The sequence below is a fragment of the Homo sapiens genome, chromosome 16 (genome assembly GCF_000001405.40).
Source record: "Homo sapiens chromosome 16, GRCh38.p14 Primary Assembly".
Taxonomy (NCBI): domain Eukaryota; kingdom Metazoa; phylum Chordata; class Mammalia; order Primates; family Hominidae; genus Homo; species Homo sapiens.
The window spans coordinates 62,485,710-62,508,757 of record NC_000016.10 but is presented as its reverse complement, the minus strand read 5'-3'; the positions used below and the strand labels follow the sequence as shown (position 1 = coordinate 62,508,757).

The 23,048-nt window shown below is 37.1% G+C and overlaps 1 annotated feature.

Moving 5' to 3' along the window:
* Positions 251–797: an enhancer, noted in NCBI's record as "OCT4-NANOG hESC enhancer chr16:62541865-62542411 (GRCh37/hg19 assembly coordinates)". NCBI's record gives its function as "activates a minimal SCP1, AML or CMV promoter by ChIP-STARR-seq in primed H9 embryonic stem cells {active_cell/tissue: H9 hESC(primed)}" and the evidence as "EXISTENCE:reporter gene assay evidence [ECO:0000049][PMID:30033119]".

Here is a 23,048-nt window from a genome sequence, read left to right as displayed (position 1 = left end):
TTAATCTCTTTATCCTGTCATGTCATAAGCTGAGGAGGATGTATGTCGCCTCAGGACACTGTGATGATTGCGTTAACTGCACAAATTGTAGAGCATGTGTGTTTGAACAATATGAAATCTGGGCACCTTGAAAAAAGAACAGGATAACAGCAATGTTCAGGGAACAAGAGAGATAACCTTAAACTCTGACCGCCAGTGACCCGGGTGGAACAGAGCCATATTTCTCTTTTTTCAAAAGCAAATGGGAGAAATATCGCTGAATTCTTTTTCTCAGCAAGGAACATCCCTGAGAAAGAGAATGCGTCCCTGAGGGTGGGCTTCTAAAATGGTCCCCTTGAGTGTGACCGTCTTTTATGGTCGAGCTGTAGAGATGAAATAAGCCCCAGTCTCCCATGGCACTCCCAGGCTTATTAGGATGAGAAAATTCCTGCCTAATAAATTTTTGGTCAGACCGGTTGTCTGCTCACAAACCCTGTCTCCTGATAAGATGTTATCAATGACAATGCATGCCCGAAACTTCATTAGCAATTTTAATTTCGCCCTGTCCTGTGGTCCTGTGATCTCGCCCTGCCTCCATTTGCCTTGTGATATTCTATTACCTTGTGAAGCACTTGATCTCTATAACCCACACCCTATTCATACACTCCCTCCCCTTTGAAAATCACTAATAAAAACTTGCTGGTTTTGCGGCTTGTGGGGCATCACAACTTTGCCAATCTCTTTTCAGATACCATGCAACAGCATCTTTGGGGTACAGATAAAATAGGTAAACAGATACTTTGCATCTTGTAATGATGCCTTTTTACAGAAAGGGTAATTTACAAAATTTCAGGCCATAAAATGCTCTCTTGTGTTCTGTGTTTTGCCTAGCTTACGCTATCTAAACAATGCTCTTTTCTTGAGTCTTCCAGCAGCTATTTCACACTTTAAGTGTGAATATTAGAGTAATTACAGATTTTTCTCTAATTTTACCTTTGTAAAACTTGGAATAAAGTCACCAGTCAAGACATGCTTTGAGAAATCACTAGTATTTCTAAAGCACTGTGGTATCTTGGGGAAAAAAGTATTGTAAGAGGACAGTGAAATTTTTGAGATGCTTTAAACTGAGAGTCAGTTGTTACATTTAATCTTGAGTTAGCATGATTATTAAAAGGACAATTGTTGAGTTGTGAGCTGAAAAAAATGTGTAAAATTATAAATAACATTGAAATCAAGTGTAAAAAAAAACACATGCATGCAATTTGGTCATAGCTTCAGGATTTATGTTTAATCTACTTCTTCTGAAGTTCTCTCACCTAGGACAGCTACAAATTCAGGGGTTTCCACAATCCATATTCAATTTCAATAATTCACTAAGATGACTCACAGAACTTAGAAAAGTGTTAGCAATTATTATTTTATCAGAAGTCTAAAGTCAAGGTGCCAGTAGATCCAGTGTCTGTTGAAGGCACACTTCCTGGTTTGCAGACAATCAATTTCTCGTTGTATCCTCACATGGTGGAAAGAGAGTTTGCTAGCCCTCGGGTCTCTTTTTATAATCCCATTCATGAGAACTCCACTCTTATTTCCCAAAGGCCCCACCTCCAAATGCCATCATATTGGGATCAGGGTTTCAACATATGAATTTCAGGAAAAAAAAATTTACTCCATTGTCTTCTGCTTCTGGCCTCACAAAATTCATATTCTTCTCACATGCAAAATCTATTCTATTCAAAAAGCCCCCAAAGTCTTAGCTTATCCCACCATAAACTCTAAAGTCTAAGTGAAAAATCTCCTTTAAATACCTAAATCAGGTATGACTGAGACTAGAAGTACAATTTATCCTGATGCAGAATTCCTTTCCAGCTGTGAATCTGTATGCTTGGGGGTCGGGGAGGGGGAAATCCTGTCTTTTCTATTCTTTCAGTCAATACGACAATCATTAACACAGAAGAATTCTGTGATGAAATGTAGGGGTTGAAGTGTTCTCCCCACCACCAAGTGAGCAATCAATTCTGCAGCAGACATTGACTGGGTGCTCTTCAATTCAATTCTGCCACTATCTACCTGGAGATAGCGTCAGATCCCAAAAGTTTGGAGCTCAGAACCCAAAATACCCCCACCAAAAACCAGGACATCCAGAAATTCCTTTTTTTTTTTTTTTTTTGTGAGATGGAGTCTTGCTCTGTTGCCCAAGTGGGAGTGCAGTGGCACGATCTCGGCTCACTGCAAGCTCCGCCTCCCAGGTTCACGCCATTCTCCTGCCTCAGCCTCCCGAGTAGCAGGGACTACAGGCGCCTGCCACCATGCTGGCTAATTTTTTGTATTTTTAGTGGAGACAGGGTTTCACCGTGTTAGCCAGGATGGTCTCGATCTCCTGACCTCGTTGTCCGCCCACCTCGGCCTCCCAAAGTGCTGGGATTACAGGCGTGAGCCACCGCGCCCGGCCCAGGGCCTCCAGAAATTCTGACTGACCAACTTCAAGTTGGAGTTCTCACAATCCCCTCTTTAAATTTTATTAATTTGCTGGAGCAGTTCACAGAACTCGGGAAAATACATTTACTAGTCTATTGTAAAGAATATTTCAAAGGATACAGATAAAGAGATGCATAGGGCAAGGCATATGAGAAGGGTGTGGAGATTCCTTCCCCTCCCAGGGCACATGACCCCCAGGACATCACTTTGGAGTCTCTAATAATTTTAGGAGTTGTATGCCAGGAAGGAGTGTTGAAGATGAACTGTATATTTCACAGTATCAACTGTAAAACCAAACAACTATGTACTTCCTCATACAATGGTGGGATAGGCATAGGATAGACATTTCCATTTCAAAAGGGAAAAATAAGGAAGAAAGAGGATGTAATGGGTACCAAGCAAGTTCCAAATCTAGAAGGGCAAACTCCACAAGATGGTAAGGCTTGAGAATAAACCCCTTTGGTTGCATTCTCAGCTCTCCAGGACTACTGGAGAAGGTGCTTCTGATCCCACCTTCCACACTCACTGGAGAAGTGGCCCCATACCCACAGCTCAGCTTGGTAGGGGTCCTGTTTCTCATGTTCTGTCAGGCAGGGCTTAAGCCCCACAGTTTTGGTTAGCACCTCCCTCCTGGCTTTAGGCAGAGGTTACCTAGCCTGCTGAAAGCAAGGCAATTTCACCCTCCCTGCTATTGAAACCCAAAAGTCAGGCCAGATAATTTCTGAATTATCCTCAAGGTTATTCTTCCATTGCTTTGCAGAATAGAACATGTCCTCAGTTGAATAGCTCTATGGTCCTGCTCTATAAATCAAGTAAGTACAAAAACCTCAAAAACCTTCCTTGATTTTTCCCAGTCTCCTTCCCCTTTAGTTCAAACTAGCAGTGTTCCTGCTGGGATAGCGGATAATCTAAGTCCATAGTTCACATCCACACTAAACTCCTTGTCAAACTGTTGCTTGGTCACGGCCTTAGTGTTCTCTTTCAAACATGTTTTCTGACTTTTGCCAATACAGACAGGCTGATAAATGTCTAAATTGTTAAGTTCTGATTTCTTTTGCTTAATAATTCCAAATTCAAATCATTTCTCTCTCCTTGCATTTTACCCTAATCAGCCAGGAGGAACCGAGCTGCTCCGAAAACACTTTGCTTAGAATGTTCTTAAGATAAATATACAATTTTTCTGCTGGCAAGTTCTACCTGCCACAGCACTAGAAGACAAATGCAATTCAGACAAGTTATGTGCCACATTATAACAAGGATCACCTTTCCTTCATTAATAGTATGCTCCTCATTTCTGTCTGAAACCTCATCAGAATGGCCTTCACTGTCCACATTTCTACCAGCATTCTGTGCAGGACTATTTCTGTATTCTCTACAAACACAGAGCTTTTCCTACAGATCTCTCTTCCGTTTCTGAGCCCTTTTCAGAATTGCTTTTAAAATTCCCTTCATGACAATCTCAGCTTCTTCTATCATTTATTTCAAAACTCTTCCAGTCTCTATCCATTCCTAGTCCCAAAGCCACTTCCACATTTTTAGGTATTTGTTGCAGTAGAACCCCATGGCTCAGTAGCAATTTCTGTCTTAGTCAGTTTAGGCTGCTGTAACAAAGTGCTATAGACTGCGTAACTTAAACAGAGTACATCTATTTCTCACAATTCTGAAGACTGTAAAGTCTAAGAACTTCAAGATCAAGGTGCTAGTAGAACTAGTATCTGGTGAGTGCCCACTTCCTGATTTGCCGACAGCCAGCTTCTCATTCTATTCTCACATGGCAGAAAGAAAGCTAGCTATCTCTCTGTCCTCTCCTTAGAAAACTGCTAATCCCATTTATGAGGGTCCCATCCTCATGAACAAATTAGATCCCAAAAACTCCATGTCCAAATACTGCTGCATTAGAATTAGGGTTGCAACATATAAATTTTTGGTGATAATGGTACTATGAAATATCTCCATTCACAAAAGGCATAGGACATCAAATGTATAGGGGTTATTTCCCTATACTAATCAATTTTGCAACAGTAGCTGGTGTCCTACAACTTAATTCAATTCTGAAAATATCTACCTGGAAATTATGAAAATGAAATATTTCTAATTAAATTGAAATATAAAATTTTGATTCTGAAACTACAGAGCCTATAATTTTTCTAACTAATCATACTTCCAACATTGTTAGCCCAGAATTTATTTATACAAGTTTGCATTCTCTGTAAACCAGCTGGAAGGAGGAGAACAAATATAATGCATGTTGGAATGACTTGTCCCATGCTGAGCTGAATGTGATTTGTCTTCAAAAGAAATGCAAAAGGCAACAAATATCAAAAAGAGACAAATGACACCTTTACTTAAATTATGTTTTGATAAACAAAAATCAAGTTAAAACACATGTGATGTTATATCTCAAATCCCATGTTTACTTACTAAAAATTATTTGTAATTATGACATATTGTTGTCTATTATGCTTTCTTATTTAAGTGTTTCCAACATACTGATCAAAGGGGAATCAAAATTCAATCAGGAATTCTCCGTGGGGAAAACAAATTGTATTTTTGTACAGATACGTTATCTGGAGAAAATTCTTAATGTAACATATTATTTCTCTGAAATTTAAGTGCAGACTTTAAAATTCCATATTGGAGTCCCATTAACCTGCCAATTAATATAGTAATTAACTCATTAGCTTAATGGTACTATAATTATCTGTTAGCTCTGATTGTATTATAATTCTTTCAAAGTCAATGCATAATGGTTTTATCTGTGCTCCCTATAAGTAATTTTCTTTCTATGCCCTTTTTACCCTGTAGGTTATGAGTACAACACAGAAAATTCCAATGACTAATTATCTAATCCCTCCCACACCTAGGATAGTCAGTTTTCTACAGCTAGGGTACCTTAATAAGACAACGTAAGAAAATGTGAAAGAAGAATTCTCAAAGTGGTTTTCTATTGGATTATATCTTTTTCCTGACCTGGAGTGGAACTCCACACTTTCTCTTGGGGGTTCTCGGCTTCCCAGATGATGTTGCTATGCAGTTTAAACAGCAGTGTCATGAATAAAATATGATGGGTTAATAGGCTTCTGTCAACTTTCTGGATATATCTTTCACCTGCTTTTTTGATGTACTAAGCATGTTTACTTGACTGGTTTGGTAATCTAATACTGGTTTTTGGACAAGAAAAAAATGCTAAAGATTGATTCACCACATTTTTCGCCTTTTACTTTTAGTTGCCATGTAAGGATTGTACATAGTTATGAAATACAGAATGATATTTTGATACATGCATACAATGCGTAATGATCAAATTGGGATAATTAGCATGTCCATCACCTCAAACATTTATAACTTTGTGTTGTGAACATTCAAAATCCTTTCTTCTAGCTTTTCGAAAATGTACACTCAATTATTGTTAACCATATTCACCCAAAAGTGCTACAAAAACACTAGAAATACTTCTTCCCATATAACTGTAAATTGTGTACCCATTAACCAATCTCTTCCAATCCTCTCCAATCCCCAACCTTTCCCAATCTCCCATAATCACAATTCTACTTTCTACTTATATGAGCTCAATTTTTTTTAGCTCTCACATATGAAAACACGTGATATTTATCTTTCTGTACTTGACTTATTTAACCTAATATCCTCCAGGCTCATCCATGTTGTTGAGAATGACAGAATTTCATTCTTTTACAGATTAATAATATCCATTCTGTATGCACATATATCATTTTCATTCATCTGTTGATATACACTTAGTTTATTCCATATCCTGGCTAATGTGAATAGAGTGGTTCAGCACATCTTAACATAAAGAAAAGCTTCACATAGGTACTTGGGGACAAGGCTAAACTGTCAGCGAAGGGTCCAGCCTGCTGTTTCTTAAGAAGCAGTGCAGACATTCCCAGTAACTATTTATTGAGTGAGTTTAAATGCTTACTGCTAAATATTTATCTTGTTTAACCCTCTGATCTCACAATAACTTTCCAATTTAGGTATGATTATTTATTTCAATATTACAGATGAGACTTAGAAAGGTGATATAGTTTTCCCAAAATCATAGAGCTAGTTAGATAGACATCTGGGAAAGAATTATGGATTTTAGGTTTCTGTCTATATATTGATATCTATGTCCTATCAAGTTCACGTTGAGAATAATCAAGTCTGTCTAATTTCAAAGTCCATATTTTTTTTCAAAGATCATCTTTCTTTCCTGTCTCCTCCAACACATACACACACACACACACACACACACACCCCACAATGCATTACTTAAAAGATCAATAATCATAGAAGGACCATTTTTCTTTGTAGTCAAGATGGAGACAGCAGCATTAGAAGAGTAAATTTATTTTTGACAATTTAGTCATAAATACATAGTTGGTGCAAGGGGCCTTAGACTGGAAAGGAATAGCCAAACTAACTCTTTTATTTTATATTTCACAGACCTAGAGACAAATTTCTACAGTGTTAGGTCCTCAGCAGTAAATCTGCAGATTCTTTAGCTTTGCCCTGATTTGATGTCTTGATTTTAAAAATAAGAGGATATTAGCTAATTAATTCAGTTTGCTGGATACCAGTGAGTGTATCATCTTCATATTTGGCCACTGTAACAGGCTACATTATTAAAGACCTAAAGAGATGCAACTGAAATTGAGATGACTCGGAGCAGACCAGTAGAGACCATATTTATAGGACAAATTTAGAATGCCTTGATTTATCTAAGCTTCCTCCGCTTCCAGATATAACTTGATTATGGATTGTCTTGGTGAAGAGTACTCTGGTAGACCTCACTCTTAGTTCCATACAAGAGGAAACTCAAATGCAAAAAACCTAAATAGCATATTTTTAATCATTCTGAGCAACAAAAGTAAAAACTATCTCTGCTGGACAGAGCTAGTGAGTCCTTCCAGGGAAGAAATGGTGACATTCTTACTACCATCAATTCTCATGACCCCAGGCATTAGCAGTTGTGACAACATTGATGGGTCCCAGCTGCAGGGGTGCCTTCAAATTGCATTGGATATATAACTTCTATGTTTAGCATTAACAGTGATTTTTTTTAAAAAAAAGGTCATTGTGAATAATCAGAACATAAATGAGAAACAGGTTAGCCAAAAGGAATGATCTGTGTACAGCAGGAAAGTATAAAGCTGAGACCCACATTTTTGTGTATTTGACTGTAAAATGCAAGCCATGCTAAGGATTTTAGAAAAGTTACCAAACTGCTTTTTCTCTCAGTATTCTCACCTTTGTGTCATCAAATACATAGGGCACTAGTGAAGATTATGAAATCTCGGCCGCTGGGCTGTGTGCTTTATAAACTAGTGCTCTAAAGATAGTAGCTGTATTACTAATATTACAATAATATGTCGTACAGCCTTGAGATAAACTAGAGAAAGGCTAGAATTCCCTAGAATGGAGGGAGCCACAGAACACTAATCTGTGAATATAATTGAGTTGTCATTATTTATTCCAATTTAGATAAGCTAAGACCCACCTTTAAATAAATTGGCCTGTTTCTGCTAAAATAAGAGTTTAATCCATTGGGTTTTTCCTAGATGGTATGTCTCCAATGTCTTTTTGTTGTTGTTGTTACGCTTAATCAGGTCTGTATTCTGGGTCCTCTAATGTGAGTGAACATTTCTAGTGACTCAAACAAGGTATCTCAGTGTCAGAAACCATTATGGTATAACAGCAGTTAAGTGTAGGTTTTTTAATGAAGTGAAACTGTTTCTCCTGTTCATTAAGTGCCAAGTGAAATGGGTCCTGGCTAACCTCAAGTTAATGAAGTAGTACCCACATTATTATATACATGCTAATAAAATAGGTATGTCAGTGAAAAACAGAAATGCTGTGAAATCCTATAGAATGCCATTGATAAGATAGGTTGAATGGATTCCTTCCTTGGAATCAAGTTTCCTATAAAGCACGAGGGCATAGTGCTCACGTGGCCTAACAGTTTGTAAAGATAAGTTTGCGATAGAAACTTGTATTAGAAAAAGCTGTGGGAAGCTTAGCTTCTGCAAACCACAGGTGGATAGAAATTTGAGATCATCTGTTACAGGGTCATTTGAAAGAAAAAAAAAAAGAGAAATCAAGAAGCAGTTAAGTCAACACCAAAGCAAATTTCTGCAGTTGCCCTTGGATAAAAACACACTGTTGTGCTAACTCTTCCAAAAATGGTTACATTCAGTATTTATCAGTGACCTCTGGGTATGTCGATGAGCTAATAGCAATTTCCTTCAGAAAACACTTCACACTTGCAAGTCTAAGTGATGTCAGAGAAGCAACACAGATATATCATAAAAAGCTATCATCCTATCAGTTGAAATTACCTCTTCAGAAGAGAAAAAGTACTCAAAGGCAATGTTTCATCTCTGAACTCTCTCTTTCCTTAATAAGAAATAGAAGATCAAACATACAATATCTGCTTTTTAGGGGTTTGATTCTTTATGTGTTCCTGTGTGTGTGTAAATAGAAGTTGTAGTATTTATCAAGTCTAAATTTAAGGCAAAAATTAAACACTTCCCTCTTCTCCATAGCCTTTTTTACAACCTCCTTTTCCTAATAAGAACAGTCAAACACCTTTCCTTATATGCTGGACCATCTCTATCTGCTGCCTGGAATTTAAAATTATTTTCCCAGCTTCTAGGAGTGCTAAGTGAAGATGTCTGTCAGTTTTCAGCACTCACTGGAGGGTCGACTTAGTTTAAAGAAAAAAATTTTGCCCACATTTATGCCTCCTTTCAGAGGCAGCCTGCATCAAAAGACTGTAATAGTCCATTTTCATACTGCTATAAAGAGCTGCCGGAGAGTGAGTAATATATAAAGGAAAGAGGTTTAATTGACTCACAGTTCAGCATGGCTGGGGAGGCCTCAGGAAACTTATAATCGTGGTGGAAGGTGAAGGTGAAGCAAGACACCCTCTTTACAAGGCGGCAGGAAGGAAAAGTGCAGAGCGAAGGGGGTTGAGCCCGCATATAAAACTATCAGATCTCGTGAGAACTCGCTCACTATCACGAGAACAGCATGGGGGAAACTGCCCCCATAATCCAATTACTCTCCACCCGGTCTCTCCCTTCACACATGGGGATTATGGAGATTATGAGGATTACAATTCAAGATGAGATTTTGGGTGGGGACACCATATTAACAACCAATCAAAATGTGGGTATAAAAAGCACCTCCTGGCTGGGCGTGGTGGCTCACGCCTGCAATCCCAGCACTTTGGGAGGCCGAGGTGGGTGGATCACAAGGTCAAGAGATCGAGACCATCCTGACCAACATGGTGAAACCCCGTCTCTACTAAAAATAAAAAAACAAATTAGCCGGGCATGGTGGTGCACACCTGTAGTCCCAGCTACTCAGGAGGCTGAGGCAGGAGAATTGCTTGAATCTGGGAGGCGGAGGTTGCAATGAGCCGAGATCACGCCGCTGCACTCTAGCCTGCCAATAAAGTGAGACTCTGTCTTAAAAAAAAAAAAAAAAAAAAAAAAAAAAAGCACCTCCTCACCCCAACTCTGAAGGAACATCCCAGCTCCAGACTTCCCTATGAGTTTGGTCTATGTTGGGGATGCATTGCAGCACAGCAGCTTTAACCTGATATGGCTTTTGCACTTTCCTTTCCACAGTCGTTAATCTTCAAAACACTCCTTAGTAAATATCCTGGGTGCTAATCTCCATCTTGTAGGCTGTCTCCTGGGAAAACTACATGAATCTGCAACACCTTCTTCGCACTTTCACACAATTTTATGTGTATTTATGTTTCTATCACAATAATCCCCTGCATTTTTATAATGATTTATGTTTTCCTATATGTTGACTAGTTTAATTTTCCTAAAGGCCCTGTGAAGTATGGCTAGTCTTCTCATATGCCAAATGAAACTTACAGAGGTTGAGAGCTTGTACACTGGCAGAATTCAAACCGAATGTAGCATTATTCTACGCACAATGAAATCACTCATATCCCACAATATATGACCTTCTGCACATCCATTTCTCCCCTTAGGAAAAATACCACACCTTTTTCATTTTTTGTATACCCACTGCTGTGTTCAGTACCTGAACAAGATTAGGTTTTTCTCTTTCTGAATTTTGGGAACTTGGGAAAGTTAATAACCTTGTTCATTGAAAGTATGAAAACTAAATTTTATTAAGATTAAAAAACTACCTCAAGGTTATATACTGGGTAATTTATGAAGTGGTTGTTTGAAACAAGGTCTACCAACTACAGAGATGGAAGAGGAAAAAAAATGCAGAAAAAAATAAAAATAAATGAGGGGAGAAATGTTATAAAATATATATGTTTGAAAACATATCAAACCAATCTCTAAATCTTCAAACAAAAGAGAATCTTCAATCTTTAGTTGATCAAACTTCACAGAATCTTCATCACTTCAATTCTTTACCTCTTTTTGCTGAAGATGCTCATCTGTCCGGAAAACACGTTTCTTCCCAGATTTCAAGATACAAGTGTTGTGGTCTCCACTGATTGATTAAGGACACCAGAATCCAATTTGCAAGAGAGTTCTTACTTCCTCATTAAGTACACATCACCATTAAATGCTCACTGTCAAGAATTCTTATCAGGCTTTTAGAGCTTTTCTGCACTGCCTGTGAGGTACTCACAATGTTGGAGATTAACAATAAAGGCACTTTTATGTCTACAGGAGTAGTTATGGCCAACAGTAGAAATGTACTTTCCAGAATAATTAAGACAATTATCCATGAGATCAATTCTAGGTAACGTAAAGGTCATTCCCATTGCAGGTTTTCCCAGTGAGGTACCCTACGCACTCCAAGTGGGGATAAGGGACCTAATGGAAAGATTATATATCAGATCTGAAGTATCATTTATGCAGCCTTCACAGAGATAATAAACGTTGGTCATTCATTAGAGATGTTTAGTTTGTGAGTACTGCTACTCTCTCTGCAGTATTCCCTATTCACGTATTCTTATTCTGCACACAGACTTTAAAGTGTGCCTACCTCCTCAAGATAATGACTAAAATGACAACTGAAATTTGAATTGTACTTAGATTACTCTGAAAGAGGATTTGAGAAAAAGTTACAATTCCCCTCACCAGGTGTTTTCAGCAAACCAAGAATAAGTCTTTCTAAAGAGAAATACTACATTTGATATTGTAGGTCCTCATATTTAATCCCTAAACACCTCAAAGAATAGTGCTTGAGCATGAACGGTTATTGAGAATGCCTTAATACTTTTTCAAAAACAACAATCTACAACATCAAGAGAGTTAAACCTATATTATTACATTGAATGGATTACCAGAAAAGAAATTCATTGTTGGTGTGCTTAGGAAAGGCTCATCAATACATATCAGCAATGTCAAGTTTTATGTACAGTACAAGATTAACAAGTTCATTTTTTATTAAGCAAGCATATATTATGAGCTTTCAAAATAACAGAAACTATACTAAGCTTCAGTAATTCACAAATGGTAAGAAAGAAACTCATTCCCCGCATATACTCATTCACACGCTCATATATTAACCATTTTGTTTAGAATGAATTGAGTGACTGCTACTACAGAGGCAGGCACTATTTTGGTGAGCAAGACAAAAAGTACTACTGGAAATAGAGTTTCATTCTAATAAAAGGGGCTATAAATGAAAAATAAATATATGAAGTAAAAGTGTCTCCTCCATAGTGAATGACAATAGTTTTAATAATTATAACAACAATAATAATATATAGTTGGCTCTCTGTATCCATGGGCTTCATATCCACAGATTCAACTAATAGGGAATCAAAAATTTTTTTAAATAATAGATGATGGCTGGGTGCGGTGACTCACGCCTGTAATCCCGCCACTTTGGGAGGCCGAGGTGGGTGGATCACCTGAGGTCAGGAGTTCAAGACCAGCCTGGCCAACATGGCGAAACCCCGTCTCTACCAAAAATACAAAAATTAGCTAGGCATGGCGATGAGCACCTCTAATCCCAGCTACTGGGGAGGCTGAGGCAGGAGAATCTTTTGAATCCAGGAGGCGAATGTTGCAGTGAGCCAATATTGTGCCACCGCACTCCAGCCTGGGCAACAAGAGTGAGATGCCATCTAAAAAAATTAGTTAATTAAAATAATAATAATAATGGATGGTTGCATCTGTACTGAACATGTACACACTTTTTTCTTATTGCTAGTCTCTAAACATAGACTATAACAATTATTTACATTGTTTTAGGTATTATAAATACTATATATATGATTTAAAGCTTATAGGAGGTATACATGGATTGTATGCAAATACGATGCCTTGTTATATAAGGGACTTGAGCATTCATGGATTTTGGTATCCTCAGGATGTGCTGGAACTAATGACCCAGAAATACTGAGAGTGAGGATATAATTATAATTAACATTGACTATGTATAAGAAATATATATATAATGTGATCATTACAATGAATTTTTATTATATATGTTGTGATGAAGGAAACACAAGAGGCTGTGGGACTGTAGAAAAGCAAACAAAGAAATTGTGACATTTAACCTGAGTCTTTAAGCACCACTTTTTCAAAGAAACAAGGAATTATTGCAAGGAGAAATAAATAGCAAGATTAAAGCTAAGAGGTTCAGAAAAACTGGAGAGTGAGTGGAAGTCCTAGTAGCTCAGTAAGATCTGTCATTGTATCTACTCCTTCACAAACACGTTAAACCCTTTGACTTGCTTTCTTTCTATTATACTCATTTGGTAAATATCCCTACCTAGAATGCACCTCATGACTGCACTAAGCAATGATTTTCCCTGCAGAGAAGCACAAGTGTGATAGTCTTTCTTTAATTTTGTGATCATAAATGCCAAATGAATACAATATCGCTCAGCAATCCGACTATACACTTCTATTATTTTTTCCCATCCCCCTCTCCTTAATTACTTCAAACATTTCCATCACTCCTCAAAACTCCTACACCAATCTTCTTATCCTAACTCTCAGCTAACCATTTAAGTCATAATCCACTAATAAAATAGAGACAAAGAGAAATTTCCTTCTATTTGCACCCCATAAACAACCAACATGTTCTGTACTGGAGTTTGTTGCCCTCCCTTCTGTTTCTTTGAATGGAAGATCTCCATTGAAAACTTCATCAAAAGCCAACCCCTCCACGATGCTCTGAGTTTTACATTCCCATGGATTCAAAGAGAAACTCTTTATACCAAGTTGGGTGAATAGGTACTGAATATTTGCTAAATATCAGGAACCAGGCACTCAGCAGTAGTCCAAATCAACTTATAATGAAAAAAAATTAGACGTGTCTAGTTGTGTGTGGGTATTTCTGGGTGTGTGTGTGTTCGTGCATCTGTGTATTGTAATTAGTTTTCTTAATTTCCTGTATATTATGATTTAACGTCTTAAAATACCTTTCTGGATGGAGAGAAACTGCCATTCCTGTGGCTAATCTGTTTTTAGGGATAGCAACAGGTCCAGCTGGGAGCGTGTCTTTGATGTGCAAACTAACCAATGCAGAGACACAGATCTTCTATTTGTCTCCTATACTTTAGGAGGCAATATTTCTCTGTCTTAATCATCCCAGGGCCAGGTGCCAGGCAACTAGAGCTTACCCTTAAAGCTCAAATTCTGCCAAAATTATTCACTCTAGCCAATCCTATCCTGTTCATCCCATCCTCATTGCCTTTTTCACAAAAACCCCAATAAGAGCAGTTGCCTGACCCTTCCCCTCTCTGCTGTCTTCTGCCTGTGAACCATCCTGTTATCTTTTTCATGATGCCCTCTGTGTTAGTCTGTTTTGTGTTGCTATAAAGGAATATCTGAGACTGGAGAATTTATAAAGAAAAGAGGTTTATTTGGCTCACATTTCTGCAGGCTATACAAGCCTGACACCAGCATCTGCTCAGCTTCTGGTGAGGCCTCAGGAAGCTTTCACTCATGGTAGAGGACAAAGGAAGAGCAGACACATCACCTGGCAAGAGAGAGGGAGCAAGAGAGATGCCAGGCTCCTTTAAACTATCAGATCTTGTGGTAACTAATACAGTGAGGAGAGGGCGCCCAGCCATTCATGAGTGATTCACCCCCATGACCCAAACACTTCCCACCAGGTCCCACCTCCAAGATCACGGATCACAGTTCAACATGAGACTTGAAGGGGACAGACATCCAAACTGTATCACCCTTCGTGGTGTGGAGTGCCTCACGTCTCTAGGACCTGTGAGTTTCATAAACTTTGTTTTCCTGAGACTCTTCTCCTGTGGCCACACCTGATGGCTGACCATTTTATAAAAAGAATACAGAAAAGTGTATGAAGAGAGATACCAACAAAAAGTAGGAATATCAATCATTTTCTCTAATACTAATATTCTTCACACCCTCACACCTTTGTACAAATCCCTATTAGAGCAGCTTCACTTGTGGAGGTATATTTACCATTATGCTAGTGAAGATGAAGCTTCAGGACCTCTCACGTGCACAGACCTTACTAGCACCCAATGGACCCTAACCTATGTACAAATTTAAATTTGTATTTACAGCTTCGCATTCATTTTTTAAAGGCAATCTCTCAATGTGCATAAGCCTCAGGTCCTACAAAACCAGGATTTGCATGCTTATGTGATATACATGCTTATGTATCCACAAACCTATAACTTTGATTGAAACCAGATTGCACCATGATATTGCAATATCTTACTGGTTCAGTCAGATATTCTCTTGTGATCTGAAATAGAGACATGCTGACTTAATTAGCAAGTGTTGAATACTAGAATATTTTTAACAAAATGTAATTGTTAGAACAAGTTTGCATTTACAGAAAAATTGTAAAGATAAGTACAGATATAGTTTCCCTCAACTCCACACCTTATTTTCTGTATTATTAAAATCTTACAATATGGTATATTTATTACAATTAATGAACCAATATTGATTAATTAGTGTTAACTGTAGTCCATACTTTATTTAATTTTCCTTTGTTTTTACTTAATGTCTGTTTGCTGTTTCAGGGTCCTATTTAGGATACAACATCCCATTAGTTGTCATGCGTCCTTAGGCTTCTCTTGGCTATGAGAGTTTCTTAGATTTTTCTTGCTTATGATAAGCTTGATATTTTTGAGGTAGCACTGGCCAAGTATTTTGTGGAACGTCACTCTACTGGGATTTGTCTGATGCTTTTCTCATTAGATTGGGGTTATGGATTTTCTTTGCAGGGGAAAGACCACAGAGATAAATTGCTATTTTCATCACTTCATATCAAGGGTACATACTAGCAACGTGACTTATCACTGTTGATGTTGAACTTGATCACCTGGTTGAGACAGTGTGTGTCAGGGTTTTTCACTGCAAAGTTATTCACTTTTGCCCCTTTCTGTGCTGTACTTTTTGGAAGAAAGACACTCTCTGAAGCTCACATCTAGGAGGTATGCTTTCTTTCCTTGAGGGTAGAGTAACTACATGCACTATTCTGCATTGCAATTCTCTGCATGGGATATTTGTCTCTTTCTCCCATTTGTTTATGTAATCATTTATTTATATCAGTATGGGCTCATGAATATCGATTTGATGCTTTATGTTATAATATAATACTTCTTTATTTTGTTGCCCAAATTGTTCCAGCTTTGCCCAAATTATTTTATTGCCCAAATTGTTCCTGTTTTCAATTGGTGCCTGTGTCCTGGTGGTGTACCCGCAACATTGAGTGTTGTTGGTTGGTTGGTTGGTTGGTTTTGAACACATCCTTATTTCCTGACACCACAAGATGTTCTATCTTGTGTATTCCCTGCCATAATTCCAGAGTCAGCCATTTCTTCAAGGATCTATGATTCCTTTTCTTGAAGAGACCAGGGTTAGTAACCACAATCCGGGCCCTAGATGGGCCCATTGTTACTGGGGTATAGTTCATTTTAGGCCCTCCCTGCTGAGAGAGAAAAAGGAGATATATGTGTGTATACTAATTCATATATACAAATATCTACAAATATTTCTATATGTATCTGTTCCTATATTCAGCTAAAAATGAGTTTATACTGATGTCTCCAACTTTAATCCATACCACATGGATCATTCTAGTCTTTTCCCCCTTCTTTACCTGTAAACTTCTACTATAACAGTGAAAAACATGGCTCTTACCATCCACCATCTGTTTGTTTAATTATTTAGCTCTAGTATGTAAGCATAGCAATATCAGAATTGTTGCCTACATCCCTGTGGGAAAATAGTTTTTATAAAGTAGGTTACAATGCTTAAGTTTACTTTATATTTAGTTTTAGAGATTCCACTCATTTCCAAAGTTACTCAGGTAAGCATCATTTTTTCCCAATCCACTCAATTAGGTTGTTTTATACATTTGAAATACTGTTAGATTGTTTTGTCATATTGTGCATTCTATCTATTTTTCAACCCCTTATATTTTAAAAAATTGCATATATTACATTTCACTCTTTGTATTGTAAAGTTCAATGGGTTATGAGAGATGCATTGTGTCATGTATGCATAAATTAAATATAATTCAGAATAATTGCACTATCCTAAAATATCCACAGTGCTTTACCTTTTATCCCTTCTCTCCTCCCAATGAACCAATAGAACCCACTAATATTTTTGCTGTCTCTTAGATTATTCCTTTTCCAGAAGGTCATATAATAGGAATTATACAGTATGTAGCTTCTTCTTACTGCCTTTTTTTCACATAGCAATATGCATTTTAGATTAATCCAGGCCTTTTTGTAACTTGAAAGCTTACATCTTTATTACTGAATAATATTCCACTATATGAGTGTTCCAAAGTTTGTTTATTGACCATTCACCTATTGAAAAATATCTTGGTTACCTCCAAGTGTTGGCAATAATGAATAAAGATACTCTAAACATTTGTGTGCAGGTGTTTGTGGGGACATAAATTTTTTAACTACTTGGGTAAATAACTAGGAGTGTGATTGCTGGACTGTGTCATGTAATTATTTAGTGTTGTAAGAAACTGACAACTACCTTCCAAGTGGCTGCATCCAGCAACAATGAATGAGAGTTCCTGTTGCCTTGCATCCTCACCAGCAATTAATTGATAAAGTCATTTTTTTAAATTCTAGGCATTCTAATTGTTACATAATTTTATTTCATTGTTTGTTTGTCTTAAAATTCCCTAATGACAAGTCATGTTGAACATCTTTTCACATACTCATTTGCCACTTGCATATCTTTTTTGCTGAAATATCTGTTCAGATCTTTTGCTCATTTTTAAAATGGGTTGTTTTCTTATTGTTGAGTTTTAACTGTTCTTATATTTTTTGATACAAGTTTTATTGCCTTTAAATTGTCTTTTCATTGTCTTAAAAATGTCTTTCACAACATAGAAGTTTTAAATTTTAATAAATTGCAACTTATCCCTTTTTATCCCTTTCATGGATTGTGCTTTTGGTATCGCATCTGAAAACATCACCAAACCAATGGTCATGTAGATTTTCTCCTATACTGTCTTCTAAAAGTGTCATTATTTCATATATTTAAGTATATGATTCATTTTACGCTAATTTTTCTGAGAAGTGTAAATCTCTGTCTAGTTAGAATTTTTGGAATTTAGACATCAATTGGTCCAACACAATTTGTTGAAAAGACTTTTATTAGTCACAGTTCTCCAGAGGGACAGAAGCATTAGGATATATGCATAAATAAAAGGGATTTTATTAGGAAGAATTGGCTCACAGTATTACAAGGTGAACTCCCACAATAGGCCATCTGCAGGCTGGGGAAAGAGAAAAGCCAGTAGTGGCTCAGTCCAAGTCGAAAGCCTCAAAACCAGGGAAGCCGAGAGTGCAGCCCTCAGTCTGAGGCCAAAGGTCTGAGAGCCCCCAGGAGGCTGCTGGTGCAAGTCCCAGAGTACAAAGGCTGAAGCTATGAGTCTGATATCCAAGGGCAGAAGAAGAAGCAAGGCTCAGGCACAGGAAAAGAGAGAGCTGGAGAAGACTCAGCAAGCAAACTTACAGCCTTTCTCATCCTTGCTTTGTTCCAGCTGTGATGGCAGCCAATTTGGATGGTGCCCTCCCACACTGGGTGGTGAGGGTGGGTCTGCCTCTCCCAGTCCACTGACTGAAATGTTAAAGTCCTCTGGCAACACCCTAACAGACATGTCCAGAAACAATACTTTACCAGCCATCTGCACTGCCATCTAGGCATCCCTCAATCCAGTCAAGTCGACACCTAATATTAACCATCACAGCTATCCTTTCTCTACTGAATTACCTTTGTCCTTTGTCAAAGGTAAATTGACTATATATGTGTGAGTCTATTTCTCAGCTCTCTATTCGGTTCCATTGATGTGTTTTTCTCTTATTTTGCCAATTACCACAGTGTCTTGATTTCTATAGTTTTATACCACCTCTTGAAATTGGGTGTGTATTGCTACCTGACTTCAAACTATACTACAAGGCTACAGTAACCAAAACAGCATGGTACTGGTACCAAAACAGAGATATAGATCAATGGAATAGAACAGAGCCCTCAGAAATAATGCTGCATATCTACAACTATCTGATCTTTGACAAACCTGAGAAAAACAAGCAATGGGGAAAGCATTCCCTATTTAATAAATGGTGCTGGGAAAACTGGCTAGCCATATGTAGAAAGCTGAAACTGGATCCCTTCCTTACACCTTATACAAAAATTAATTCAAGATGGATTAAAGACTTAAACGTTAGACCTAAAACCATAAAAACCCTAGAAGAAAACCTAGGCATTACCATTCAGGACATAGGCATGGGCAAGGACTTCATGTCTAAAACACCAAAAGCAATGGCAACTAAAGCCAAAATTGACAAATGGGATCTAATTAAACTAAAGAGCTTCTGCACAGCAAAAGAAACTACCATCAGAGTGAACAGGCAACCTACAAAATGGGAGAAAATTTTCGCAACCTACTCATCTGACAAAGGGCTAATATCCAGAATCTACAATGAACTCAAACAAATTTACAAGAAAAAAAAAAACCTCATCAAAAAGTGGGCGAAGGACATGAACAGACACTTCTCAAAAGAAGACATTTATGCAGCCAAAAAACACATGAAAAAATGCTCACCATCACTGGCCATCAGAGAAATGCAATTCAAAACCACAATGAGATACCATCTCACACCAGTTAGAATGGCAATCATTAAAAAGTCAGGAAACAACAGGTGCTGGAGAGGATGTGGAGAAATAGGAACACTTTTACACTGTTGGTGGGACTGTAAACTAGTTCAACCATTGTGGAAGTCAGTGTGGTGATTCCTCAGGGATCTAGAACTAGAAATACCATTTGACCCAGCCATCCCATTACTGGGTATATACCCAAAGGACTATAAATCATGCTGCTATAAAGACACATGCACATGTATGTTTATTGCAGCTCTATTCACAATAGCAAAGACTTGGAACCAACCCAAATGTCCAATAATGATAGACTGGATTAAGAAAATGTGGCACATATACACCATGGAATACTATGCAGCCATAAAAAATGATGAGTTCATGTCCTTTGTAGGGACATGGATGAAATTGCAAATCATCATTCTCAGTAAACTATCGCAAGAACAAAAAACCAAACACCGCATATTCTCACTCATAGGTGGGAATTGAACCATGAGAACACATGGATACAGGAAGGGGAACATCACACTCTGGGGACCGTTTTGGGGTGGGGGGAGGGGGGAGGGATAGCAGTAGGAGATATACCTAATGCTAAATGACGAGTTAATGGGTGCAGCACACCAGCATGGCACATGTATACATATGTAACTAACCTGCACATTGTGCACATGTACCCTAAAACTTAAAATATAATAATAATAAAATAAAAAAATAAAAAAGAAATAAAAAAGAAATTGGGTGTGTATTCTAATTTTGTTCTCCTTCAGTATTGTGCTGGATATTCTTGGTTTTTTGCCTTTCCATATAAATGTTAGAATTAGTTTATCTACAATTTACTTTTCAGGATTTTGCTTAGGATTACATGGACTCTATAAAGTTGAGAAAAACTGATACCTTAAAAATATCTAGTCATCCAATCCTGGAATACAGAATATCTGTCTCTTTATTTTGCTCTCATTTTATTTATTTCTTCAGAGTTTTGTAGTTTTCAAAATGTTAGTATTGGTCATATTTTGTTATATTTATACCTATTTCAAATTTGTGGTACAATTTTAAATGTTATTATTATTTTTATTCTAAATTTCAAATTATAATGATCAATTCATGCCATGCAAAAGAGGAATTAACTATTGTATATTGACCATATATTTTTTGACCTTACTATCTTCACTCATTAGTTTCAGGATTTTGCTGTTGTTGTTCTTGTAGATCCACCGCTGTGTTCTACACAGATAATTATGCCATTTTGCTAAAGAGACAGTTTTACCTCTTCATTTTATTTACATACCTTTTTTTTTTAATGGACTATTTAGTCATTGTTTTCTTACTTTCCAGTCTCAGGCAGAAATATCCAGTATCTCATCATTGAGTATGATGTTAACTGTAGAGTTTTGTTTAGATGTTCTTATCAATTGAACAAATTCTTTTCTATTCCTTATTTGCTGAGAGTTTTTATCATAGGTGGGTGTCACATTTTGTGAAATGTGTCTTCTGCATCAATTAATACAACTGTATGATTTTCTTCTTTAGCCTGTAAATGCGGCGGATTACATTGACTGACTTTTGAATTTTGAACTAGTCTTACATATGTGAAATAAATCCCATTTGATTGTGGTATATAATTATAAATTATAATTATATAATTATCTATTTATAAATACGTGGATTTGATTTGTCAATATGAGGAGATTTGTTTTATGTTCATGAGAGATATTGGTCAGTAATGTTTCTTTCTTATAATGCCTTTATCTGGTTTTGATATTAGGATAATCTTGGCTACATAAAATGAGTTAGGAAGTGTCCACTCTGCTTCTGTTTTCTGGAACAATGATAGAGAATTGACATTATTTCTTTCTTGTGTGTTTGGTAAAATTCATATTAGTACAACCATATGGGCCTAGTATTTTCCTTTTTGGGAGGTTATTAATTATTGATAGGTGGTGAAAATTTAAATATCAGAGAGTTAGGACCAGAGTCAGCAATATAGTACCAAGACATATTCCATAAATTGTTATGGAGAAGAGAAAATAAAGCACCTCACATTGGGATAGGTTCTCCAAATAAGAGACTAGGGTATATATGCAGAAATAACATATCATGGAGGGATGGCAGGAAGGAAACGGAGAGAATGGCAGATAAAGAGAGCGTGCTACCTTATCCTTTTACAAGATCAGATAATAAGTTAAAGCGAAAAAGAAAGTGAGTGAAGGAAAGTCCTAGACCTGAATCCCTTTTTTTCAAGTTTCAACCAATTTGAGTTTGTTTCTTTTCCTTTCTTCATAAAAACAGGATAAAAATAATTATTTCATGGATTTTTGATGAAGAGTAAATGCATATATATATATATATATATATATATAGAGAGAGAGAGAGAGAGAGAGAGAGAGAAATAAACACTGAATATACTACAAGTATAAATTTTCCATGTTTGGTACCATTAAATGATGCTTTTTTGAAGAGATATTTATCAAATTTACTCTAAAAGAGATAGATGTAACTTCTTAGAATATGTTTTCAATATTCTCAGTCAAATGTCATATAATCGTGTATACAAAAAAATGTAGGCACAGTAAAATCTAAAATCAGTATTTCCAGGCAACTGTTTAGGTTCTCTGAAAGCATACCAGTGTAGTTTTATAAAAAAAAATTTTTTGTATGGATTAGCTAGTCAAATAACAGTACAGATTACATGCAATGTTTTAAAATATTTTTAGTGCATTACACGTTTTAATTTCTAACAGTATTATTTATTCATCAAAATCTAAACTCCTATGTGTTTTGTTTTTACATGCTACATTTGGAATATTTAAAATTTCCCCATTTTAAAAGCTACTTATTTATTTTGGGGGAAGGGGTTAACTATTTATAATCTAGGCAATTATAAGGATAAAGCACGAATGTATTCATATGTAGAGAGAGTCTTGCTCTGTTGCTAGGCTGGAGTGCAGTGGTGTGATCTCGGCTCACTGCAACCTCTGCCTCCCTGGTTCAAGCAATTCTGCTGCCTCAGCCTTCTGAGTAGCTGGGACTACAGGCACACACCACCACGTCCAGCTAATTAGTGTATTTTTGGTAGAGACAGGGTTTCACCATGTTGGCCAGGATGGTCTCGATCTCCTGACCTCATGATCCGCCTGCCTCAGCCTCCCAAAGTGCTGGGATTACAGGTGTGAGCCACTGCACCCAGCCAGTATTCAGTTATTTAAGGTTTTTACTGTAACCTTGCATCCTAATCGTCTGATGCCCACTTAAACATTTTTAAATGGTTTGTTTGTTTGTTTATAATTTCTATTTATATTTTAGATTCAGAAGGTGCTTGTGCAGGTTTGTTTGTGGGTATACTGTACGATGCTGAGGTTTGATGTGCAATTGATTCTATTACCCAGGTACTGAGCATAGTACCCAACAGTTAGTTTTTCAACCTTTGCCCTCTTCCCTGTCTCCTTCTTCTAGTAGCCCCCGAGGTCTATTGTTGTCATCTTTATGTCTGTATCAGCACTCAAT